Source organism: Homo sapiens, chromosome 13 (assembly GCF_000001405.40).
Source record: "Homo sapiens chromosome 13, GRCh38.p14 Primary Assembly".
NCBI classification, from domain to species: domain Eukaryota; kingdom Metazoa; phylum Chordata; class Mammalia; order Primates; family Hominidae; genus Homo; species Homo sapiens.
The window spans coordinates 72962608-72990323 of NC_000013.11; the positions used below are offsets into that span (position 1 = coordinate 72962608).

The 27716-nt window shown below is 37.5% G+C and overlaps 1 protein-coding gene across 11 annotated transcripts in view; it reads left to right on the forward strand.

Annotated features, from left to right (window-relative positions):
- Nucleotides 1-27716, forward strand: part of PIBF1 (progesterone immunomodulatory binding factor 1) — a 234329-nt gene that overhangs the window by 180475 nt on the left and 26138 nt on the right. For 4 of the 11 annotated variants that reach the window (NR_146205.2, NM_001349655.2, NM_006346.4 and 1 more), the window contains 2 exons: nt 2667-2797; nt 10984-11068. The exons of 2 other annotated variants lie outside the window; for them this stretch is intronic. Coding sequence is in view for 5 of the 9 variants with exons in the window: in NM_001349655.2 (NP_001336584.1) it covers nt 2667-2797; nt 10984-11068 (216 nt within the window). In the remaining 4 variants the exon portion in view is untranslated. Of the gene's footprint in view, nt 1-2666; nt 2798-10983; nt 11069-27716 lie in introns of those variants that run through there. 5 more of the 11 variants (NR_146206.2, XM_047430045.1, XM_047430047.1 and 2 more) reach the window with 2 other exon arrangements.

The following is a 27716-nucleotide window of genomic DNA, read 5'->3' on the forward strand; positions in this document are numbered from 1 at the left end:
AAGGAAGAAAACATTTAGGAATAAATTAACCAAATGGACACAAGACATCCCATATTCATGGATTAGAAGATTTAATGTTGTTAGGATGATAATACTACCCAAAACATTCTACAAATTAGATTCAGTCCCTGTCAAAATCCCAATGGCATTTTTTACAGAAATGGAAAAACTGATCCTAAAATTCATATGGAATTTCAAGGAACCCTAAATGGCCAAAACAATCTTTAAAAGGAAAAACAAAGTTGTAGGGCTCAGATTTCCAGATTTCTGAACTTACTGTAAAGTTACAGTCAGCAAAACAGTGTGCAACTAGAATAAGGATGGACATAAAAACCCACGGAATATTAATAGAATAGAGCCCAGAAGTAAACACTTGCCTATATGGCCAGTCGTTTTCAACAAGAGTGCTAGGACCATTTCATGGAGAAAAGCCAGTCTTTTCAACAAATGGGGCTGGTAAAACTGAGTATCTACATGCAAAAGAATGAAGTTGGACCCTTACCTTACACCATATTCAAAAGCTAACTCAGACTGGATCAGAGACCTAAATTTAAGCATTAAAGGTATAAAATGCATAGAAGAAAACATAGGAGAAAATCATAACCTTGGATTTGGCAATTTCTGCAAAAGGACAAGCACAAAAACATAAAATAGATAAATTGAATTTCCTAATTATAAAAAATTGTGAGTTAAAGGAGATTATCAGCCGGACCCAATGGCTCATGCCTGTAATCCCAGCACTTTGGGAGGCCAAGGCAGGCAGATCACTTGAAGTCAGGAATCCGAGACCAGCCTGGCCAACATGGTGAAACCCCGTATCTACTAAAAATATGAAAATTAGCCAGGCATGGTGGCGCACGCCTCTAATCCCAGCTACTCAGAAGGCTGAGGCAAGAGAATTTCTTGAATCCAGGAGGCGGAGGTTGCAGTGAGCTGAGATCGCACCACTGCACTCCAGCCTGGGTGACAGAGCAAGACTCCATCTCAAAATAAGTAAGTAAGTAAATAAATAAGATTATCAAGAAAGTGAAAAGACAACCCACAAAATGGAAGAAAATATTTGCAAATTACATATCTAATAAGACTATATTATTAAGAATATATAGAGAACTCCTACAACTCAGCAACAACAACAAGAAAAATCACAATTAAAATACAAGCAAAAGACTTGGGAAGACTTCTCTCCAAAGAAGATATACAAATGCCCAGTATGCACATGAAATAATGTGCTTTGGCCAGGATGTGGAGAAATTGTAATCAAATTTCTTGCTGGTAGGAATGTAAAATGGTATCACCACTGTGGAACCGTTGCAGTTCCTCAAAAAGTTAAATATAGAATTACCATATGACCTAACAGTTCTACTCCACTTCTAGGTAGCTACCCAACAGAAGTGAAACAAGAACTCAAGATATACAGTATTTGTCCACCAATGTTCATAGCAGCATTATTCACAATAGCCAAACAGTGGAAACCCAAGTATTCATCAAGAGATCAATGGATAAACAAAATGTACTATAAACATACAGTGGACTATTATTTACCATTAAAAGGAATGAAGTTCTGATACATGATACAACATAGATGAACTTTGAAAACGTCACACTAAGTGAAATAAGCAGACAGCAAAGGACAAATATTGTGTTATTCCACTTATGTGAGGTATCTGGAATAGGCAAATTCACAGAGACAGAAAGTAAGATACAGGTTTCTAGGGCCAGGAGGGAGGAGAAAATGGGGAGTTTTTGTTTAATGGGTACAGAGTTTCCATATGGGCTGATGGAAGTGTTCTGGAAATAGAAGTGGTAGCTATTCAACATTATGAATGTACTTAATGCCACTGAATTGTACACTTTTCACATGATTAAAATGGTAAATTTTACATTATATTTTAAAACACATTTGTCAAAAATTTATACATAATGATTTGGATATATAAATTATGTATTTTTAAAACAAGGGAATATGAAGAAATGAAAAAATTATTGAATTATGGTGTGAATATTTTTAGTAGAAGTAAAGCTGAAATAAAAGAGTTTAACTTTTAGCTAAGTGTTTCCATTTTAAAAAGATATATTTTATGTCATATAGCTTTTCAGACCAAGACAAATACTAAGAAAATTTAAGTTTATGCATTCTCAAAATTGCTATTAATATTTTATTTAAAATTTTTTCAGCCAGGCGAGGTGGCTCACACCCGTAGTCCCCGCACTTTGGGAGGCTGAGGTGGGCGATCACCTGAGGTCAGGAGTTCAAGACCAGCCTGGCCAACATGCTGAAACCCCATCTCTACTAAAATTACAAAAATTAGTGGGGCATGGTAGCAGGCACCTGTAATCCCAGCTACTCGGAAAGCTGAGGCAGGAGAATCACTTGAACCTGGAAGGCGGAGGTTGCAGTGAGCCGAGATCGCGCCACTGCACTCTAGCCTGGGCGACAGAGCGAGACTGTCTCAAAAAAAAGAAAACAAAAAAAATTATTGTTTATAGTTGCTATTAAGAATAGCTATATTGATTCACTCTTAAAACCTTCAAATTTACACAGGAAAAGCTTTTCAGAATAATTCATGTCAAAGGAATTTCTGTACTATATTTGTGCTAGAGCATTTTGAATGATTTTATTTTGTTGTCACATTTTCTAGATTTTAATGAAACCTGTGTTTCTTTAGCTTGACAGAGCCAATTCGCTATTAAACCAGACTCAACAGCCTTACAGGTATCTCATTGAATCAGTGCGTCAGAGAGATTCTAAGATTGATTCACTGACGGAATCTATTGCACAACTTGAGAAAGATGTCAGGTAAACCATCTACAAATCTTTTATTTGAATAATAAAGACATTGTTACCATATTGCTGCTGTAGGTGAATTTGGGTTGTAAATCATGAACAGAAAATTTAAATAATGAAGGTGTCTTAAATGTAATGAATATTAAACTTTTCTTAGAAAAACTAAGGTCACATCACATCAGGTGTTCACATTCCACCTGTGATCAGATGTCTTAGCATGGAAATAACAATGTTACACTTATGAGCATAACATTCCATCTATCCTAGAGGACACAACCGCTATTGGTCCTTGTTTCCCTAGAACTCTTTAGTGTGGTGTAGATTGACCAGAGGGAGAGGAGGAATAAAACCAGATGCCATTTGTGTCGTTAAAATGGCTTTTTAAACAACAACAACAAAAAATTTACATTTACTTAGATTTATGTTGATTTTTCCAAGGAATTTTTAGGCTTTTCTTCTGACCTTTTACATGAAAGTAACTTTTAAGTGTAAATAAATAAATTTCTTTCACTTCCTTAATTTGTAATTGTTTCTGTATGAGATCTTATCCAAAAAAAATTTGCTATGACCAGTTTGGTTTTTTAAACTGAAATTAAAGAATGAAGATATGTGTAAATGAAACAGTTTTACTTGTGGATAGATGGTTAGTTTGCTTAGTTACTAGATTTCCAAGATTATAAGAATAATTTAGATTTTTATGGGTAAATTATTAACTGATTATCAATGTAAAAGCAGAGAATTAAGTGGGAATAGAAATGGTTAAATCAAGGAATTGGAAAACAATAAGGAGAAGATGGTTGTTAAATCCAGGTTTCTTAAAGTATGCAAACAAAAATATAAACCTATTGGTAACTAATTCCAAAGTATAAATGTTATTTTTAATGAATCACAGTAATTACCTTCTTTCATTTCTACCCCACCAAAATAATTGGTCTAGAACTTTATTCCTGTTCTTAATTTTTTATGATTTGTTTAAATAATTTAGGAGCACATTTATACCTTAAATGTGTCAAAATAAATAAGTTTGTTTCTAGATTAATTTTAAAGTTAAAAATTCTGTATACAACCTACAATAATAAATTAATTGTTCTATAAATAGTTCTTGGGGACAATAGAAATTATGTCTTTCACAATTCACTGGGCACCTGATTATCTTAGGGAAATTGAAGAAAGAACCCCAAATAGAATTTTTTCCTCCTATGTTACATATTTCTGTTAAATTTGAATATTTTTTGGCCAGGCGCAGTGGCTCACACCTGTAATCCCAGCACTTTGGGAGGCTGAGGCAGGCAGATCACCTGAGGTCAGGAATTCTAGACCAGCCTGGCCAACATAGTGAAACCCTGTCTCGACTACAAATACAAAAGTTAGCTGAGCATGGTGATGCATGCCTGTAGTCCCAGCCACTCTGGAGGCTGAGACAGGAGAATCGCTTGAACCGGGGAGACGGAGGTTGCAGTGAGCTGAGATCATTTCACTGCACTCCAGCTTGGGCAACAGAGTGAGACTCTGTCTCAAAAAAATTAAAATTAAAATTAAATTTTGAATCTTTTTTTTTTTTTTGAAACGGAGTCTCACTGTCACCCAGGCTGGAGTGCAATGATGTGATCTCTGCTCACTATAACCTCTGCCTCCCGGGTTCAAGTGATTCTCCTGCCTCAGCCTCCTGAGTAGCTAGGATTACAGGCACACGCTGCCACGCCCAGCTAATTTTTGTATTTTTAGTGGAGACAGGGTTTCACCATGTTGGTCAGGCTGGTCTTGAACTCCTGACCTCATGATCTGCCCTCCTCGGCCTCCCGAAGTGCTAGGATTAAAGGCATGAGACACCATGCCCGGCCTTAAAATTTGAATCTTTTATATGTCTTATTTTACCATTATTTCTTGTGATGAGGAGGTATATAAAAATCCTGAGGAAAAAAATTACTCCTTTCACAGTTATCTCCAAACAAATTTATTTGATTATTTATTTTACTAAGAATTAAGGTAGCTTAAAATGTTTAATATAGAGAAAATAATAGCTAGCTGTAGGAGAAAATTATAAAGATGAACAAATTCAGCCATAGAGAAATTAAGCAACTTGTCCTCTAAGAACATGCAACATTGTGATAGAGTAAGAATTCAATTTTATATCTGTCTGCTTGCTAATTCTATTCTCCTAACCATTAGGTTATACTGCCCCTCTATGTTCTATTCTGAATAAGGGATAATATTTCTTTAGCTAAAATAATTAAGGAAGAGAACAAAAAAGTAGTGTATCATAGTGATTAAAAGTAGCACTTTAATGAGTTGATCGTTGTTGAAGCGGGGTGATAGATATATCAGGGTTTGCTATTACATATTTTCTCTTCTGAAATATTCTATAATAAAATTTTTTAAAAAACAGATTTTAAAAGGAAGTTTTCAAATTCAACTCAGTACTTAGTTTTGAGTTAGGGCAAGTAATTTAAACTCTCTAATACCTCTGTTGTCCAATAGAACTTTCTATAATGATAAAAATATTCCATATCTGGCTGGGCACGGTAGCTCAAGTCTGTAATCCCAGCACTTTGGGAGGCCGAGGCGGGCGGATCACGAGGTCAGGAGATCGAGACCATCCTGGCTAACACGGTGAAACCCTGTCTCTACTAAAAATACAAAAATTAGCCGGGCGTAGTGGCGGGCGCCTGTAGTCCCAGCTACTCGGGAGGCTGAGGCAGGAGAATGGCGTGAACCTGGGAGGCAGAGCTTGCAGTGAGCCGAGATTGCGCCACTGCACTCCAACCTGGGCGACAGAGCCAGACTCCGTCTCCAAAAAAAGAAAAATTCTACATCAGTGCTGTCCAGTATGGTAGCCACTAGCTAGCCACATATAGATGTTGAGCATTTGTTTTGGGGTTTTGTTGTTGTTGTTGTTGTTGTTCTTTTTTTTCTTTTCTTTTCTTTGAGACGGAGTTTCACTCTTGTCACCCAGACTGGAGTGCAATGGCGCGATCTCGGCTCACTGCAACCTCCACCTCCCAGGTTCAAGCGATTCTCCTGTCTCAGCCTCCCGAGTAGCTGGGATAACAAGCACCCACCACCACAGCCGGCTAATTTTTGTGTTTTTAGTAAAGATGAGGTTTCACCCTGTTAGCCAGGGTGTTCTTGAACTCCTGACCTCAAATGATCCGCTGGCCTTGGCCTCCCAAAGTGCTGGGATTACAGGCATGAGCCACCACACCCAACCTGAGCATTTGAAATGTGGCTACTGTTACTGAGGAACTAAATTTTTAATTCTATTAAAATTAAATTGTTTAAATTATCTTTAATTTTATTTTTAATTTTATTAAAATTAAAGATAATTTTAATTGCCCTAGTGGCCAATGGCTGTGGTATTGCACAGTACAGCCAGTTTCCTCATATGTGAAATGAGAGTGGTGCCGAGGCAGACAGATTGCCTGAGCCCAGGAGTTCGAGACCAGCCTGGACAACATGGCAAAACCATGTTTGGTTTTGTCTCTACAAAAAATACAGAAAAATTTGCCAGTGTGATGGCACGCTTCTGTAGTCCTGGCTACTCAGGAGGCTGAGGTGGGAGGATGAGTTGAGCCTGGGAGGTGGAGGTTGCAATGAGCAACTGCACTCCAGCCTGGGTGACAAAGCAAAACTCTGTCTCAAAAAAAAAATAAAAATAAAAATAATGAGAGTGGTCCTAACAGCACCCGATTGATAGGGTTGTTCTGAGGAATAAATGATATAATCTTCATAATATACACAGATATAATAGTGCCTAAACATTATATTCAACAGTGTTCAATAAATGTTTGCCATTCTTAGTACTTACCATACATGTAACAAATTTTTGGTTGAAAATTATATTAAAAATGAGAAATAACATTTCTCAAAATATGTTGAATTTCAACAAAAATTAAGACTCCCTTAATAACAGCAACGGTTTTCATAAAGGCCATGTCATTTATGGAATTAATTACCAAGAAAAATTTTGTACTAAACATGAGTCCTTTAATGTTGTCTTGTGTTTCATAAATTAATTGTGTGATATTTTAGTACATTCTGAACTGATAATTCACAGGATATGAAATCTTATTCTTAATTGAAGCAACTACCTTCTAAAGTGAAAAGTTATTAATACTTTCAGTAGTTTAATTACAACACTTGAGATGTTGCTATAGGTGTACCCTGGTGACATGAATGAAATGCTGTGATGTAACAATGCCATTAAAAAGTCAGCTCAGCCAGTAATTCAGATATGGTAGGATAGATCACAGTTCTGTATACCCACATTCCTTCATCCCTACTCGAAGCAAATGGCATTTCAAATCCTAGAGTGGAATTATCCTGGGCTTTAAATACACATCAGGCTGGTTTCTCTCCTTATGGTAAATGTGTCTGTAAAATTAGATATTAATATGAACCCGAAGGGGTAGTTGTGAAAATTAAATTTAGGGGCATATATAAAGCTTTGGCATGTAGGAGAATCTCAGTAAATGTTACTTCCCTCCCCTTGTCTTTTATTTGAAATTTAAACATTAATGATGGCCCATCCAAAAGCGTTATCAAGTTATTATGTTCCTTAGAAAACATAAACAGGAAAATTCCTATTCCTCATTGCTAGGTGTTGATGTTAGTTGTAAAAATATTTACATCAATTGATGATTTTTAAATGTTTTTCTAATTCAATAAAAACTCTTTGAAGAACTGAATAATTGTATGCTTTTCTTAGAAAATTAAACAATACCACTATACCATACTTACCCCTTGAAAATCAACTATTTATACAATATATTCAATTTCTAGAAAGGCTAGAGTAAATATTCACTAAAATGAAATCATCATAAACACATTAAAAGCTAACATTTGAGATGTCACTATTAACTGCTTTAAATTCTCCTATCATTAAAGTAATACTTTATTATAAAAATAGTACTGTTAACTTTCTTCCACCAAGCCACAAGAGACACTCTGTGTAATACAGTTTGATCTCTACTTCAGAAAGGAAGGAAGCTTGGAAAGAGAATAATTAGCATAATTTTCTTTGCCTGTTGTCAGTTCTCAGTTTATTCTTAACTGGTAGTTAAAGATAAGACTACATTGCCAACTTCCCTTACAAAGCTATCCCAGAGTGTATTGATCCAGGAAGTTAAGGAACAATATATCAGGAATGTTTTCGTATTGCAGGTGAAACAGAGCCATAAACATGAATTTCTAAGTAATAATTAACAGTGAATTTAACAATTATGGGTGTAATATACCATTCAAGATAGATGTGCTTACAAGGAGATTTGTTTTGTAGTTGTTTTATGAGTCACTCATAGAAGCTTTGTATTTTCAAAGGTAAGTTTCCACTGTTATGAAATATGTCTTATGAAGACTAAAATTCTATTGAGTAAATACATACTAGAAGAAGAGTGAATATAATAATCATCATATTCAGTTTTAGAGACCCACATGTTAAAGGTTGTCTCCCTGTGGTTCGAGTATATTATAAAGAAGACAAAATATATGCCCAGATATTGTAATCACAGCAATATTGTCTGGGAAGTCCACATTGTTTGTAATAAACTCATGTCTTACAGGTGCAACATAATTGTTCTGTAAGCCAGTTTATCCCCCCACCATTTATTCCATGTATATACGGTTGTTTTGCTATTTAATTATAGAATACTTTATTTTTGAAAAGTTAAAACACGACAATATAAAAGCATTTGTGAAGAATTATCCAGTCAAAATCCTTTAATTACCTCGACATTCCATTCCGATTACACTACATATTCTTTAGAAGAGCCAGTTGGTATTTGAAACAGAGAGTGAGTGTGTGTGTGTGTGTGTGTATGTGTGTGTGTGTGTGTATGCACTGAATGTGAGTATATGCTTATATACCGTGGTTATAAGTGTATACATGTATATGAACATAGACACATACATGTTCCTTAAAAGTTCCTAGTCCTATTTACTGGATATTTAAATTTGAAAAATATTTTGCCTTCAAAGTGATTCCAGCTAAAGAGGTGGTTAGAATTCTAGAGTTAGAGAAACATGTGATCCTTACCATGCTTTGGAGACTCTAGCAGAACATGGCACTCAGTTTCCTTTATACTGTTTTGTTCTTTTCAACTCCTCAGCTCTTGTGGGATCTCTGGCGCCTAACTCTAAAAGTCAGTTTGTTTTTCAGCTGAGCTGCTTACCTTTATTGGCATTTAATTACTGTTTTACTCTGATGCCTATTTTTTTATCTAAATTAGTAACACTGTATAACATTTATATAGTTTTATGAGTTCAACACTTTATATAATCATTCACATAGTCCTTTGACATACATGAGTATTATGTTCTACTTTTACAGATATAAAAACTGAGGTTCAGTGGGGTGGTATGTGTTATGCTTTACAGCACACATTTGAGTCTGAGTCAGTGGCACAGTTGGGAACAGAAGTCAAAATTGCATCTAGTCCGTCTCCTCAGAGGACAAACTATGATGCTTCCTTCTCGATTACTTGGAAGGAGAAGAATGTGGGCTTTCCCTCTTAAGTCCTTTGAATTAGCAGTTGCTGCAGATTGCCTACTACTGTTTCTTGAATTAAAAAAAAAAAAAAGTCTGCCAAATATTATTCTAAAGATTAGTGGCTTTCATTTATTTATTTATTTATTTATTTATTTATTTATTTATTTATTTATTTTTTGAGAGAGCCTCACTCTGTCTCCCAGGCTGGAATACAGTGGAGCATCATAGCTCACTGCAGCCTCAAACTCCTGGGCTCGAGCGATCCTCCTACCTCATGCTTTGATGTAGCTGGGACTAAAGGTGCATGTCTCCACACCTGGCTAACATTTTTTTTTTAAGAGATGGGGGTCTCTCTGTGTTGCCCAGACTAGGCTCGAACTCCTGGGCTCATGCAGTTCTCCAACCTCGATCTCCCAAAGTGCTAGGATTACAGGCATGAGCCAGTGTGCCCTGCCTCCATTTTCTTAAAGTAGAACTTAAGTAGAACTTTAAAAATGTTTTTACCGGCCAGGTGCGGTGGCTCACGCCTATAATCCCAGCACTTCGGGAGGCCGAGGTGGGCAGATCACGTGAGGTCAGGAATTCGAGACCAGCCTGGCCAGCATGGTGAAACCCCATCTCTACTAAAAATACAAAAATTAGCCGGGCATGGTGGCACACACCTGTAGTCCCAGCCACTCAGACAGCTGAGGCAGAAAAATGAGTTGAACCCAGGAGGCAGAGGTTGCAGTGAGCCGAGATCGCGCCACTGCACTCCAGCCTGGGTGACAGAGCGAGACTCCGTCTCAAAAAAAAAAAAAATGTTTTTACCTATTTAAAACAATTCTTGTTAGTTTTACCCTCACAAATTTTGTCTTTTTTATTGTAATCATTCATTAGATAATTGCCACCATGCCAGGCCAGAAATTGAAAATCAAACTAATAATTTGGAGACAAACGTTCTTTTTTCAAGTTTATCACAGACTAAATACCTGATTCACTTACTTAACTCAATTATATACCTGATAATTTAGTTTGTAAAATATTACTTTCAGTTTTAAGGATGTTTTAATTTGTCTTCTAGTATCTTGTGTTGTAATAGTTTGCTGACATAGTACTTCTTACCTTTTATGTGAGTTTCTTTATCTTTTTACATTTTAGTAGTAAATAGTCATCTTTAAAACATTAATTTTATGCCTATACTAGGCAGGAAATTATTCTCAGACAGCATCTCAGTTACGTTGTCAAATGGATTCTTAAGAGAAGAAAAGCTGGGTGCAGTGATGTATGCCTGTAGTCCCAGATACTTAGGAGACTGAAGCAGGAAGATTGCTTGAGCCCAGGAGTTTGAGGCTGTAGTTCATTGTTACCATGTCTGTGAGTAGCCACTGCACTCCAGCCTGGGCAACACAGCAAGACTCCATCTCTTTAAAAAAAAGAGAAAGAGAAAGAAAAGAGGAGAGGGAAGAAAGAAAAGAAAAAAGAAAGGAAAAGAAAAGAGGAGAGGGAAGAAAGAAAAGAAAAAAGAAAGGAAAAGAAAAGAAAAAGATCTTCTGACAAAATAGGCCATTCATTGGGCCAAACATTTTAGTGGCTGGTCTGGAATATTTATGGACTATAAATTTATCTTTAGTTCAAACCATCAGATTCATGTTTATTCTTTTAATATTTACCATTTATTAACTATATTTATACTAACATAATGACTTTTTAAAACTGGGGTTTTTTTTTTCAGCAACTTAAATAAAGAAAAGTCAGCTTTACTACAGACGAAGAATCAAATGGCATTAGATTTAGAACAACTTCTAAATCATCGTGAGGTATTTTTCCTATTTTGTCATAATTGTAATCATTTTAGGCTTTTTTAAAAACTGCTATCAGGTTAAAATTATTGGATCCCAGTTGTGCATGTTCATTAATGACTTCTCTTATTTATGTCTCACTGTAATTTTGTCCTTTTTTATTCAACTTTTGATATACTTCTTAGAGTTAATTCTTATTCCTAGAATAACCCCTTCTTGTTGTGTTGATATCTGTCACTGAATTTCCCCATATTATTTAATAATAATCTGTTTTATCTTATTCTGCAACTAGACAGTTAATTTCCTTAGTGTGCCTCTCGTCTTCTTTATCAATGTATGCCCAGTGCCTGTAGTGTAGATAATTTGTGTTGAGCTTTAAAGTTCATAAAATTATTTTCTTTTCTTCATTTGTTCCCTACCAAAATTCTTTTAGAGTAAATATAATTCCTATTTTATAGATGGAGAAATGAGTTTTAAGTGGCTTGCCCATGGCAGTTAGTAACTAAGAGATAAGTTCTGTTTTGTTTTGTTTTTTTCCTTTAAGGTTTATTGAGTTATAATCTACAAAGAATAAAATTAACCTTTTTTAGCAGACATGTCTGTGATTTTTGACAAATGCACACAGTTGTGTCAGCACCACCACAATCAATATATAGAATAGTTCTATTACTCCACAAAATTCCCTCATTACCCCTTTTTAGCTGACCCTTTTCCTCAACCCCCAGCCCTATCAACCACGGGTGTATTTTCTGTAACTATTGTTTACCTTTTACAAAATGCTATAAAAGTGAAATTATCAGTATATAGCCTTTTGAGTCTGGCTTTTCTCAGTTACAATAATACATTTGCAATTCATATATATTGTTGCAATACAGATGTATAATATATTGACCTCAAGTGATCCGCCTGCATCAGCCTCCCAAAGTGCTGGGATTACAGGTGTGAGCCTGTACATACATCTACATTAGTCATATGTTTCCTTTTTATTGCTGAGTAATAAGCCATTATATGGATGTAACCCAGTTTGTTAATTCATTCACAGTTTATGGACATTTGAGTTGTTTCCATTTGAGGACATCTCCGAATAAAATATCTGTAAACAATTAATGTACACATTTTAATATAAACAAAAGTTTCCATTTCTCTTGGGTAAATACCCAGGAACATGATTACTGCATTGTATGGCAGGTGTATGTTTAAGTTTATAAGCAACTGTCAAAATTTTCCAAAGTTACTATACTTTTGCATTCCCCCTCTACGATGAATGAGAGTTCCAGTTTCTCTGCATCGTCACCAACCATTGGTATTTTTAACACAAAGCCTTTTTTCTACTGAACTATCACTGCCTCATCTTAGCCATCTTTTTACCATTTTGTTATTCTAATAGAAAAAGAAACTTTTTTTTTTTTTTTTTTGGAGACAGGATCTTGCTCTGTCACCCAGGCTGGAGTGCAGTGGCATGATCTCGGCTCACGGCAACCTCTGCCTTCCGAGTTCAAGCGAATCTCTTGGCTTAACCTCCTGAGTACCCGGGATTACAGGTGCATGCCACCATGCCATCTAACTTTTGTGTTTTTAATAGAGACTGGGTTTCGGCATGGTTGGCCAGGCTGATCTTAAACTCCTGACCTCAAGTGATCTGCCCGCCTCAATCCTCAAAGTGCTGGGATTACAGGTGTGAGCCACCGCGCCCGACCAGAAAACAAAACATTTAAAACATATCATTGGTTTATGAGTATCCTGATACTAGTCTGGGAGAGGTATACCAGATGTTGGGAAGAAATTATTGGGAGAATATTGTTGAGAGAGGGGAACTGGAAACTATTACTGGAAGCAGTTCAAAGGTACGTATCCTAGAGATGGTGTCAGAAGAATTGGAGGATTGTCTGTATCTGAGAAATGGCATTGGAGTGAGTTCTCTTAAAGGTGTCTTCTATGTGATGGGTGAAAAGGATGAGAAAGTGTCCCAGGACTAGATTGTAATGATAACATTTAGGAAGGTAAGTCAATCTAACAACAGGTTACAGAGCTAGGAAAAGCTTCTCTGAAGATATTTATTCTTTCTTCTGAGTTCGGACATTCTAGACCTTATCCATCACCGCTGCTGTCACTTATGTCCTAGGATTCTGCTTTCAAGTAATTGTTTCTTCACTGTGGAAACCTGATTCATTCACTATGTGGAATTTTCGCAAGTGTTTTTGAAATTAAATATTTAAGAGTAGTAACTACAGATGACCATTCAGCCATATCAACTACATTTTTTTAAAGCTAGATATTAATTTTTTTTTCAGAATGGCAATTCTCATTTGATTTTAAGGGGATGTGCTACACTGAAAAATATATGAGCAGTTCCAACACTTGGAATCACATTACTCATGAGTCCAAATAAAAACCAAAAAACTTTGCGTGGTGGATTGAGAAGAAAATACGTTTAAGCATGCAAATTAAATTCTAGCAGAGCTGGGCACAGTGTCACACACCTGTAGTCCCAGGTACTCTGGAGGCTAAGGCAGGAGGATCACTTGAGCACAGGAGTTTGAGACTATAGTGCACTCTGATCTCACCTGTGAATAGCCACTGCACTCCAGCCTGAGCAATGTAGTGCAACCCTATCTTTTAAAAAAGAAAGAAAGAGAAAGAGGGAGGGAGGGTTAGAGGGAAGGAGAGGAAGAAGAAGAAGGAAGAAAGGAAGCGAAGGAGGGGAGGGAAGGAGGGAGAAATTTAAACACTAGCAAGATGAAACTACTCATTAATTGCCTACTACTACATGTTATTACTGGTATTTGTATGGATGCATATTTAGATAATTGTCAGTTTTTATGTATTTGACAGTATATCTTTATTTTGGCAAGTATGTTTTAATAATTTAACATTGTATAGCTTTTGATGATACCAAACATCTAAAGAAAAGCAACTTTTTTTGTTTTAAAGCAAAGTAAAAATTAAAGCTTAGTAAAACAAATCTAATGTTATTAATCATTTTCTAAGAAACCATTTACTACCAACTTACATCATATATACACATGCAAAGGCCTCCGCAAATTGCATATATGGAAAGAAAACAGCTGGTGTGACCCCCTAGAAATGCTTGGCCATTCACTTGAACATTTACCTGATGAAACAGGATTGATTTATTCACTTGATTGTTCAGAGGATCATGTCCTCATAATAGTCAATAGATAACATTGGTTAAGAATAATTCTGATTTTTTTTTGAAAATGAAAATCAGGGCTGGGACTAGGGTGAGGCAAGCAAGGCATCTAGGACACATGATGTAAGGAGGTGCCTACTCTCAGAGTGGGCAAAGAACATGGACGGCCCCTGGGAGCCACTGCTTCTTTACCTAAGGCCGCTAGCTTGTCTCACCCTGGTCAATACCCTGGGAAAATTATCTGATACCAGTCTGGTTTTAATCAGTTAAATTTGGACAGTGTAAATGAGTGATTCAAAAAGAGACCAAATGAACTTTTTAAAGTTTCTTATTTTCTTTTTTGCATTGGACAGCTCTTGCTTTAATGTTGTGTTGTTTTGTTTTGTTTTGTTTTGTTTTGTCTTGTTTTGTTTTGAGATGGAGTCTTGCTCTGTCACCCAGGCTGGAGTGCAGTGGCGCTATTTCGGCTCAGCGCAACCTCCACCTCCCTGGTTCAAGCAATTCCCCTGCCTCAGCCCCCCAAGTAGCTGGGATTAACAGGCGCATGCCACCACACCTGGCTAATTTTTTTGTATTTTTAGTAGAGATGGGGTTTCACCACGTTGGCTAGACTGGTCTCAAACTCCTGACCTCAGGCAATCCACCTGCCTCAGCCTCCCAAAGTGCTGGGATTACAGGCATGAGCCACTGCACCCAGCCTAGCTCTAACTTTTTTTAGCAGTGTCACTTAGTTCTGATTAGGCTGTATGTGTTCATGTAATGTGAAGTAAGATCACCAGTTCATTTACATAATTCCAAAATATGTGTTAAACAGAAAAAGCAAGTAGGACAATTCTAGGTTGACAATTCAGAAACATTTGGGGCATGACCACAGAGAGTTTTTATTTTCTATATTAGTGTTAGCTCAAAAATATTAGCTTAAAAGTATCTTCTCTCATGTTAAGAGTTAGGGTGTGGTGTGACAATTTCCAGGAATGTGTATTGATCTCTTACAATTGAGTATTTCTTGAACTATGAGTGGAATATTAGGTGATGTTTAGTCCTAACTTTTTTTGCGAGAAAATATATTCAACAACTAATTTCAGAATGATATAACGTGAAGAGCAGGTGGCCGTAGAGAGAAATAGGATATTTTAGGTTGACTTTTCAGACTACAAAGCTCAACTGGGTTGGGTAAATATATTAGGTTAAAGGATTTACACAACAAATACTAACTTAAAAATGTGCATAAATTGAATTGAGAGCTTATACCTGCCCACACTTCTCCATTCTAAATTCTCCAGGTTTTGTCCCTATATTCAGTAAAATGTTCATAAAGCAGAGGGGGAAAGGGCAAAATATCTCTCCTCACAGAATTTATTTTATTAAAGAACAGTTTAATGTCATGCCTTCTGCTTTTGTAGAAGATCAAAACAAAGTGTGATCTCTCTTGGTTTTGTAAAACTAAGGCAGTCTACTAAGTACATCCACATAAATGACATAATCTAATCTTTACTACAGTCCACTGATAAATATCATTGTCCTCATTGTTAGAGATGAAACTGATGCTGATAAGAGTTAAATAACTCAACTGTGATTACGTAGTCAAAACTAAAAGTAATTCATTTTTTCCCTGAAACAAAACTAAGGTTCTTTTTCCTTAGTCTCATTTAGACAGAAAAAAACTCATGATGAATTATTGCGTATATTCCAGGAAAATTTTTGCCTCTGGGCGTGAAGTTATATTCCTCTTTCTTTTTTTCATAAAATGAAAACTTTGTAATTTAATGTGTTTCCTTTTTGTCTTCATTGCCAGAAAACTCAGAGCTGAATATCTTATCCAGGTGTTATAATCTTTTTTTTCCTCTTTCACTTTTGATACCTCAGAATAACTTTATCTGTTTCCTTCAGGTGGGTTGTAATCTATCTTACTCTAAAATGTCTTCACTTGTACTCGGATTAAGACCTCTTAGGTGTAAATAAAATATAAACCTAAATAATTAGATATTGAAAAGAGGTAAAAGGAAAAGATAAACTGATAGGAACTCACTTTTAGATAACAGTAGCAGGACTTCAAATAAAACATTCATTTTGAAAAGATTTGAGTATAAGAAATGTGATTTCAGGCCCGATGCAGTGGTTCACACTTGTAATCCCAGCACTCAAAAAGGCCAAGGTGGGAGGAACGCTTGAGGCTAGGTGTTCAGCACCAGCCTGGACAACCTAGGAAGACCTCATCTTCACAAAAAAATCAAAATTTAGCTGGGCATGGTGGTGCACATCTGTGTTCCCAGCTACTGGGGAAGTCGAAGCAGAAAGATAGCTTGAGCCCAGGAGGTTAAGGCTGCAGTGAATCATAATCACACCACTGCCCTCCAGCTTGGGTGACAGCAACACTGTCTTTTAGAAAAAGAGAAATGTGACTCCTTAAAATGGCTTCTTTCTTGAGCTTATCACTCAGTAATCGTCATTAATTGCATTTAGTTTTCATCTGTTTTTATCCACTCATCTTTGCCTTAACGAAACAAGATTTACTGATCACCTTTGGAAATTCTAATTCTGCTTTTCTTTGTATATATTTTATCCACGTGTCCTTAGAATATAAGCTTTTGAGAGTAGGAAAAGTATCTTTCATCAGCCAAATGCCTAATAGAATACTGAGCTCAGTCGTTAGAAGCTGATGTAGAAGCCCTTTTCTCATGGCTCTTGGAGCTGTAGAAGGGCAGTGGGAAGAACACCTCTTAGGAAGCTATTCCAGTATTTCAGTGAGTGAAGGTGGTGTCTTGAACTAGATTGGTGATGATGAGGTGAAACAAAAATGGACCGATTTGAAAGCTATTTAAGAAGCATAATTGGCCGGGCGTGGTGGCTCAAGCCTGTAATCCCAGCACTTTCGGAGGCCGAGGCGGGCAGATCACAAGATCAGGAGATCGAGACCATCCTGGCTAACACAGTGAAACCTGTCCCTACTAAAAATAGAAAAATTTAGCCAGGCATGGTGGTGGGCGCCTGTAGTTCCAGCTACTCGGGAGGCTGAGGCAGGAGAATGGCATGAACCCGGGAGGCGAAGGTTGCAGTGAGCTGAGATTGTGCCACTGCACTGCAGCCTTGGCAACGACAGAGCAAGACTCTGTCTCAAAAAAAGAAAAAAGAAAATTAAGAAGCATAATCACGGTCCTTGGTGATTTGAGTACATTAGGGACTGATGAAGAGAGGAGGGATGAGAATTGATGCCTAGGTTTTTGGCTTGTGTCTTTAGTGGTGCTACAAAGAACCTAGAAGAAAGAGGTTTGGGGAAGAAAAGTTCAAGAAAATATCTAAGTGGATATATACACTAGAGAGTTGGAAATGTAGGTTCTTGTGCCCAAGAAAGAGAATTCATCTGTTAATAGAAATTTGAAAGTCACAACATAAAGATGTTACTTTACATGGAAATAGAGTAAATGAACTAGTGAGACTATATAGAGTAAGAACAGAAAAAGGCCTGTGACAGAATCTTAATGAGTACCAGCATTTAAGGGAAGGGCATAGGAAAAAGTGCTTACACAAAGAAGAGTGAAGAGTGACCAGCATCAGTGACGAGCATCAGGAAGAGAGTAGAGTCCCTAAAGCCCAGGGAGAACCATTCATAACAGAGCCAGTTGTACGCAGTGACGTGCTCTCAAGAGGTCAGGCCAAAGAAAGATTTTTAAAAAAGAGTCATTTGGATTTAATAAGATGCTAAAGGGCCGGCACGGTGGCTCATGCCTGTAATCCCAGCACTTGAGGAGGCTGAGGCAGACAGATCACTTGAGCTCAGGAGTTCAAGACCAGCCTGGCCAACATGGCGAAACCCCATCTCTACAAAAGATACATAAATTAGCCAGGCCTGGGGGCATGCACCTGTAGTCCCAGCTACTTGGGAGGCTGAGGTGGGAGGATCTGGGAGAATTGCTTGAGCCCAGGAGGTGGAGGTTGCAGTGAGCCAAGATAGTACCACTGCACTCCACCCTGGGTGACAGAGTCAGAGCCCTATCTCCAAAAAAAAAAAAGAAAAAGAAAAAGATGCTAAAGCAGTTTCAATGGAGCTGGAGCTAAAAAGCAGATACCAGTGAAAAATAGGCAATCCTTAGAATATTTGAAGAAGAAAAGATAGGACAATTGAGGAAGGGGCATGAGATCAAGAGCTTTTGCTGAGCCAGGCACGGTGGCTCACGCTTGTAATTCCAACACTTTGGGAGGCGGAAGTGGGTGGATCCCTTGAGGCCAGGAGTTCGAGACCAGCCTGGCCAACATGGTGAAACCCTGTCTCTACTAAAAACACAAAAATTCGCCGGGCGTGGTGGCAGACACCCGTAGTCCCAGCTACTCGGGAGCCTGCGGCAGGAGAATCACTTGAACCCAGGAGGTGGAGGTTGGAGGTTGCAGTGAACTGAGATCATGCCACTGCACTCCAGCCTGGGTGACAGAGCAAGACTCTGTCTCAAAAAAAATAAAATAAAATAAAATAAATAAATAAATAAAATAAAAATAAAAAAAAGCTTTTGCCTCTCAAAGCTAGAGATTACACAATTTAAATGGTGACAGGAAGAAGCAAAATAGACATTAAAAGTACACAAAAGAAAGAGATAATCAATTGAGCAAAAGTGATAGGAAAGGAGATCCATAGCAGAGTCATGGGAATCAGCTTTAGACCACCAGTGTTACCTTTTCCATTTTGAAGAATAGAAAAAAGAATTATGTGAAAATAGAAGTAAGTTTATAGGTTTAGTGGTAAGTATTTAGAGAGTTCCCATCTAATGGATGTTTTCTAATAGAAAGAGATGTGGTACAGTCAGTGTTTTGAGAAAAATGAATTTTGAAGTAGCTGTGTAATAAATGAATGATGTACATAAAAGAATTGCCAAGTTGAAATGTTATGTACTTATAGTAGTACCATTCTGTGTAATTTTTCTTTAGCAGCACTTAGCACCCCAGGTGTAAACATAGAAGATGGAAACTAGACTGATCCAGAATTACATTCTACTTTCTACTATATGTACATATAAATATGTTCAACTCTCTCATTAAATTGTAAGACTGGCATTACCTTTATATTCCTTACATCTTCTACATTTTGAAATACTATGGAAAAAGCCAGCAGTCAGACAGACAAGACTTGTATTCATATCCCAGCTCTGCTACTTAATAGCAGTGCATTTTTGAGACAATAATTTCACCCCTCTAAACTCAGTTATCTCATCTGTAAATAAAGGTAATATCTACTTTGCAAGGTTCTGTGAGAATTAATATAGCAGTGTTCCTGGAATATAACAGAACTCAATGAATGTAGTTCCCTTTCCTCATTTCCTTCTGTGTCAAGGGTCTTTTTAAATATTATCTATCATTTGAGACTGGGCACGGTGGCTCCTACCTGTACCCAGCACTTAGGAAGGCCAAGGCAGGCAGATCGCTTGAGCTCAAGAGTTCAAGATCAGCCTGGGCAACATGGTGAAACTGTCTCTACAAAAAATATGAAAATTATCCAGGGATGGTGGCACATGTCTGTAGTCCCAGCTTCTCAGGAAGCTGAGGTGAGAGGATTGCTTGGGCCTGAGAGGTTGAGGCTGCAGTGAGCAGTGATCGTGCCACTACAGTCCAGCCTGGGTAACAGAGCTAGACCCTATCTAAAAAAACACAAAAAATAAAAATAAAAAAATATTATCTATCCTTTGAAGCCCTCCCTACCTCAACAAAGAAAAACATACCCTTTTCTACCTCATTCCTATAACTTTTTAAATATTTCTGTTAATGTTCATATTACTATGTAATTAAGCATCTGTCTTACCCATTAGATTGACAAATTCCTTTTTGTACTTTAGCCTTTAGCACAATATTTAGCAGATAATAAGTACTCATTCAGATGTTTCTTAAACTAATTGTTCTTTTCAATCTTCAATAATATAAAGCTGTCAAATAGAAAGCTTTAGAAACTGTCATCAAAAAATAAGTGTCACTCTGATACTGAAATATTTTAGCTGAAGAAAGCACAGAAGCTCTCCTGTATCCAAGGACAATTTTAGATACTACTACTGAAATTTTACTTACATACTACTTTTACATACAATTTTAGATACATACTACTGAAAGTAGGCCATAGGAAGTCATATCCCAAAGGTTTGTCTACAGGAGAGCTACTTCCTAAAACCTTGGAGATGGTAGTTGTAGGCACAGCAACCTCTATGGTTATCACACTTATACAGAATCATATATATTTGTGGAATATAAAACATCTGTTTTGGCTGGGCAGGGTAGCTCAGGCCTCTGATCCCATCACTTTGGGAGGCCAAGGTGGGAGGATTACTTGAGTCTAGGAATTTGAGACCAGCCTGGGCAACACAGCAAGACCCCTAGCATGGTGGCACAAACCTGTAGTACCAGCTACTCGGTTGGCTGTTGTGGGAGGATCCTTTAAGCCCAGGAGGTCAAGGCTGCAGTGAGTCATGATTGCACCACTGCACTCCAGCCTGGGCAACAGAGCGAGACTGTATCAAAGAAAAAAGAAAAATTTGTTTCTGAGACCTGGGATATCTTCTATCCTCTCATTGCAGTGTTTTTGCCAATAACACTTCTCAGGGCCCACAGTCATTTCAGTTAGTATTTAACCAGAATTAATCAACCACTCCTTACTAAGTACTTAGAATGTACAAGGCCCCACACTTACCTGAACATTGGACTAATTCTTATTATCCTGGATAACTTTCTTCTTACAGCAGTGTATGTCAGATAATGAAAAGAAAACAAACCCTGCAGTTAGCCAGGTTTCTTGAAAGTGAAATCACAGTATAATTATCATTCTTTTATGGTATGTTTGTGTTCCCAGATTCTAACTCATATGTTCTTTGCGATTTCTCGGAAGATTTCAGGGACATTTCAGCATCCCAAGTGCCCCTTAGGCAATCCACTTCATAAGAAGTTCCAACAAATTGCATTTTTCTTTATGTGTGTCACTCTTTCGGTTCATACTTAACTGTTTTGAAATTTTCTTAAGAGTATCTTTTTACATGTTTTTCTTATGCACCTATGTAGTTAAATTTTACAGTCAGCATGCTAAAAAAAAACTACTGAGCGGGTAAATTAATTTTTCTTTAAATGAAAATATACTTGTTTCTCAGATTCACACATACATTTCTCATCATAGTGGTGCTCTTCAAGTTAAACTGTTTTCGATTTGTTGGATATAAATGAGTGTTTTTAAAGAGAAAGATAATTATTATAGTGAAAACCAAAAACACATGTATGATACAAGTCATATTTTCCCTATAAAGTTTTAGAAAGATTTTTTTTTTCCATGTAAGGGTGTGTGACTTCAGGTCTGAAGAAATTTAGGGACTAAAATGTTGCAAAAAATACTGCAAATGTTGAATTTACACACATACTTTATGAGAAAGCTAAAGCTATTGTATTAACAGTGAGAATATATCTTGAATTTTTATAATCTTTTTCTATCAAACTCTAAAATGCTTTCAGATGAATTATGTTATACTACCCTACTTAGGAACCAGTTACAAATTACTTTCAAGTAAGTGTATCTGGGAATGAGGAATCAGAGAAAGGAAAAGTTTTAAATTAGTCTTCTCTGCTGAGAATTGGCCTTTTGCTTATGTTTTCTAGGATTCAAGAGGGAATTAGGCTTTTTACCCAAAATACATACTTTTCAGTAAATAATAAGTGTGTTTAATATTGATATATTATCTTGTAGTTTTTTATATTCATTTATTTTATTTAAGCCTCACAACAGCTCATTCTTACACCCATTTCACAGAGGCAACAACTGAATCACAGTTGTTCATTCTGTAAAATGTTAATTCTCCTCAGTTTTGAGTTGTGTAAAAGACATTTGAATTTCCTTTAGATTGTACTCTCTGGACCACTGTGTTTATATAGGCTTGTATAGAACCTAATAGAACTATGTCAAAATTGTTTTGGTTTTTGTAAGTATTTTGATTTCTTCTTTAATCTTTTCATTATCTTCTTTTAAATTATAAATATCTTTGTTGTATCCTACAAGTCAGTTCAGTCTTGTGTGACCCAATATATTAATATCTCATCATAAAAATATTTTATCTGTGCATATATACCCTTTTAATTTTTTATATCACATTTTCACATCTATTATGTAACATATAGACCTAGCAATTTTTAGGTTTCTTTTTTTAAGAATGAAATGTGTATTTTCCCACTGCATTTTAGAAGCTTGTGATATGTTTTCGGTTAAATTAAAAGTACATTTCTCTGACCTTTTTTTGTCAGTAAGGAGCAAGTAAATGACTTCTCTTGCTATCATTTCTAACCCTGTGCTTATATGACTATCTTAGAATAGTAGCAGCTTATAACAAACCAAACAATTCTGAGACATAAGGAGACACACACACAAAAAAAAACTACAAAACTGTAAAATCTCTGAAACTGTATAATCTCTGAAAATATTTGGTGGCCAGGCCGGGCGCAGTGGCTCACGCCTGTAATCCCAACACTTCGGGAGGCCGAAGCAGGGGGATCACGAGGTCAGGAGATCAAGACCATCCTGGCTAACACGGTGAAACCCTGTCTCTACTAAAAATACAAAAAAAAAAAAAAAAAAAAAAGCCAGGGCGGTGGCGGGTGCCTTGTAGTCCCAGCTACTTGGGAGGCTGAGGCAGGAGAATGGCTGAACCCGGGAGGCAGAGCTTGCAGTGCAGTGAGCCAAGATCACACTACTGCACTCCAGCGTGGGCAACAGGGTGAGACTCCGTCTCAAAAAACAGAAAAAGAAAAAGAAAATATTTGGTGGCCAGGAGACAATATTAACAATTATATGAGATAATTATAGTCATAATTCTGTTAGACACCATATTGGCAATATCTTGTTGTAAACTTAAGTCACTGATCCCGTATCAAGGAGCTGACACTAAGAGAAGGCTGGAATACAACATGGAGAAGGTACAGGCACTGGAGTGAGTCATACTCTGAAAACCAGTGCTCTAAGTGGAGGATAGGGTTTAAAGTCTGAAGTTGATGCTGAAAATCAACAAGAATATGCAACAAAACCCATCAAACACTACTGAAATAGTAAAGGCCAGGGTCCAGCACAGTGGGTCACACCTATAATCCCAGGACTTTGGGAGGCTGAGGCAGAAGGATTGCTTGGAGCCCAGGAGTTGTGTACTAGCCTGGTCAACATAATGAGACTCCATCTCTAGAAAAAAAAATTTTTTAAAATAAATAATTAGCTAGATGTGGTGGCTCGTGCCTATAGTCCCAGCTTCATGGGAGGCTGAGGTGGGAGGACCACTTGACCCCGGGACTTCAAGGCTGTAGTGAGCTGTGCTTGCACCACTGCACTCCAGCCTGGGCAAGAGTGAGACCCTATCTCAAAAACAAAACAAAAAAGAAGGAAAAAAAAATTTTGATGAAAAAGTTAAGACCAGAAACTAGACAGCAGCCAGATGACTACTGTTAATAGAAGGGAAAGCAATTGCACTTGGTCACAAAGCCAGGCATCAAGAAAACATGAATGTCAGAAAGCAGAGTGGGGAAAGTAGTGAGAAGTCCAGGGTAATCAGTAATGAGATGCACAAAAGGGTCTGAGCAAACCAATCAGAATAGAATTAAGGTTCCCACACTCCTGTTTTAAGTCAACAATAGCAGTAGATTTTAATTCAGGAACCTACTTCAGTGTGTTAATAATAGCTTCTTATCTGGATCACTGTTGAGAATTACCCTAAGATCATATCCATGATTGTGAAAGAATGTTTCAGGTGATTAGTTATGTCCCGGAGGCTGTAACAGCCCAATTGTCTCTCATTTGCTATCATTCGTATAAAAGCATGAGCTCTCACTAAGCCTTCAGTCATAGATAGGGTATAGCTCCAAAAATGTTTCTGTCATCTTTTTTTTTTTTTTTTTTTTTTTTTGAGACAGAGTCTCGCTCTGTCGCCCAGGCCGGACTGCGGACTGCAGTGGCGCAATCTCGGCTCACTGCAAGCTCCGCTTCCCGGGTTCACGCCATTCTCCTGCCTCAGCCTCCCGAGTAGCTGGGACTACAGGCGCCCGCCACCGCGCCCGGCTAATTTTTTTGTATTTTTAGTAGAGACAGGGTTTCACCTTGTTAGCCAGGATGGTCTCGATCTCCTGACCTCCTGATCCACCTGCCTCGGCCTCCCAAAGTGCTGGGATTACAGGCGTGAGCCACCGCGCCCGGCCTCTGTCATCTTAAATGTATTAGAATAAGAAGTAGATAAACCTGCTCTGCTCTAGTCAGTACTTCTTTCTTTATTCTGTTCTAGGCCCAAAAATTTTCAATGTAAGGAAAACAGGATGATGAAAGAATTCTTTTCAGTCATAAGAGAGATGAATGAAACTGGGGATGTTTAGAGAAGATAAGACTTAGTGAAAGATAAGAAATTCAAAGTAGGCACGTAAAACAGGCAGTAAGAGATTTGTTACACATGTCTCCAAAGTCCAGAATTAAACCAAAGGCTAGATGCTATGAGGAGACACATCCTGTTTTGTTGTTCTACTTTTTTTTTTTTTTCTTTTTGAAACGGGAGTGTTTTGGTTTTATAGTTGAGTAAGGAAAACCTAGATTAATACCTAATGTGTCTTCATTTTTAAAGCCTGGGCTAGGTGGCCATATAGTCAGAGGGGATTTCTTAATTGTATAGAGAGACTGGGCTAAATAACTTGAAGATCTCTTCCAAACCTGAAATTGTGTGTATCACAGACATTGATGGAAGGCATCTGCATTATTGTATAATGATAGCTTTGACCCCAGAAAGGCCTTACTTAATTTGAATGCTGTTTCACTTCTTAGTAGCTAAATGAACATGGTTAATTTTCTTGAGCCTTCTTTTTATTTATTTATTTTTATTTAGAATTTTTTTATTTTCCTTTGTTGTTTTTTTTTTTGAGAAGGGGTCTTGCTATGTTGCCCAGGCTGGTCTCAAACTCCTGGACTCAAGCAATCCACCTGCCTTGGCCTCCCAAAGTGCTGGGATTATAAGCATGAGCCACCATGCCTGGCCTTCTTGAGTTTTTTTTATTTTTTGTAATTTATTTATTTATTTATTTATTTTTTTTTTTTTTTTTTTTTTTGAGGCAGAGTCTCGCTCTGTCGCCAGACTGGAGTGCAGTGGTGTGATCTCGGCTCACTGCAACCTCCGCCCCCCGGGTTTATGTGATTCTCCTGCCTCAGCCTCCCAAGTAACTGGGACTACAGGCGCATGCCACCAGGCCCGGCTAATTTTTGTATTTTTAGTAGAGACGGGGTTTCACCATGCTGGCCAGGATGGTCTCAATCTCTTGACCTCGTGATCCACCCGCCTCTGCCTCCTAAAATGCTGAGATTACAGGCATGAGCCACCGCACCTGGCCCTTCTTGAGTCTTTGAAGCCTCAGTTTCTTCTCTTCAAAATTAAAGTAATATCTACTTCTTGGTATTTGAGTGTGAATTAAATTATTATGTAAGATACTCAGCACAAAGCCTGGTACATTGTAGATACTCAGTGAACATTCACTTCTGTCCCCTCTCTTCCTCCCTCCAGACCTAAAATTTGTATATACTTCTTTTGAGGCAAAGAGACAATCCCAGGGTGATGTTACCCTACAAGTGGAAGCAAGTATCTAGATAGGGAGATCGAGGGGCTGTAGATAACAGCAGTTTGCAGTTGCAGATATTAATACTATTCTACAATTTGCAGTACAAAATCTGTTTTGTCCTTTATGTAGTGTATAGTGGTATTGCATTCAAAGTAACTTTTTAAAAATAATACATTATATTTGCTTTAATAGTAGTTTAAAATTCTTGTTGAGCATTTAGAGTGTAGAATGGATGACTTTGAATTAAAGTTATATTTTCTTTTAAACTATTTTTAATCATGTTAAATAGGATAATGATATTTTGCTATTTTAAAAAATTTTTATCTGTTAAAAATTCCCACTGAAGTATTTACAAGTGAAATTATCTGAGGCTGGGCACAGTGGTTCACACCCATAATCCCAGCACTTTGGGAGGCTGAGGCGGGCAGATTGCTTGAGGTCAGGAGTTCAAGACCAACCTGGCCAACATGGTGAAACCCTGTCTCTACTAAAAATACAAAAAATTAGCCAGAAGTGGTGGCACACCCTTGTAATCCCAGGTACTCAGGAGGCTGAGGCAGGAGAATCACTTGAACCCAGGAGGGGAAGGTTGCACTGAGCGGAAATCATGCCACTGCACTCCAGCCTGGGTGACAGAGTGAGTCTCCATCTCAAAAAAAAGAAAAAGAAATTATCTGAGATCTGGAATATGTGTTAATATATATCAGGGGGAAAATCTGGTAAGGAAATAGATAAAACAGTGTTGACAAAACAATCCTGGTAGTTCCTCAAACAGTTAAACATAGAGTTACATACAACCCAGCAGCTCTATGCCCAGGTATATAAACAAAAGAAATTGAAACATATCCACACAAAAATTTACACACAAAACTTTTCACTGTTTCAAAATGTGTCAGTGTTTATGAGTGCAACATTATTCATAGTAACCAAAAAGTGGAAATAACCCAGATGTCCTTCAGCTGATGAGTAAACAAAATTTGGTATATCCATGCAGTGGAATATGATTTTGCCATGAAAGGAAGGAAGTACTGATAGATGGTACAACATGGATGAACTTTAAAAACATTATACTAAGTGAAAGAAGCCAGTCACAAAAAAAGCAGACGGTATATGATTCCACTGATGTGAACTGTCTAGAACTGGGAATTCTACAAGGACAAAAAGTAGATTGATTAGTGACAGCTTAGAATTAGAGTGATGGGGGCATGGCAGGATAGGAGGGTATAGTTAAAGCAATCAGAGTTTCTTAGGTTTTGGTTTGTTTTTGTTTTTTGTTTCTTTTGAGATGATGGAAATATTTTAAAATTGACTGGTAATTGTTGCATGTGTCTGTGAATATACTAAAAACCATTGAATTATACACTTCAAATGGATGAACTGTGTGGTATGTGAATTATATCTCAGGAACGCTATTTGAGAAAGAAAATATTGACAAAATGTTGATAATTGAAGTTGCGCAGTGGAAAGTGGGGACTCAGTATTCTATCCCCTCCATTTTTGTGTCATTGAAAATTTCCGTCATAAAATGCTTTATTAAAAAATGCCCGACCAGGCACTGAGGCTCATGCCTGTAATCTCAGCACTTTGGGAGGCTGACACAGGTGGATCACTTGAGGTCAGGAGTTCGAGATCAGACTGGCCAATATGGTGAAACTCCGTGTACACTAAAAATATAAAAATTAGCTGGGCGTGGTGGTGCACACCTGTAGTCTCAGCTACTCTGGAGGCTGAGGCAGGAGAATCATTTGAACCCAGGAGACAGAGGTTGCAGTGAGCTGAGATTGCACCACTGCATTCCAGCCTGGGCAACAAAGCAAGACTCTGTCTCAAAAAAAAAAAAAAAAAAAAAAAATGCCAGGTACAGTGGCTCACGCCTGTAATCCCAGCACTTTGGGAGGCCGAGGCAGGTGGATCACCTGAGACCAGGAGTTCGAGACC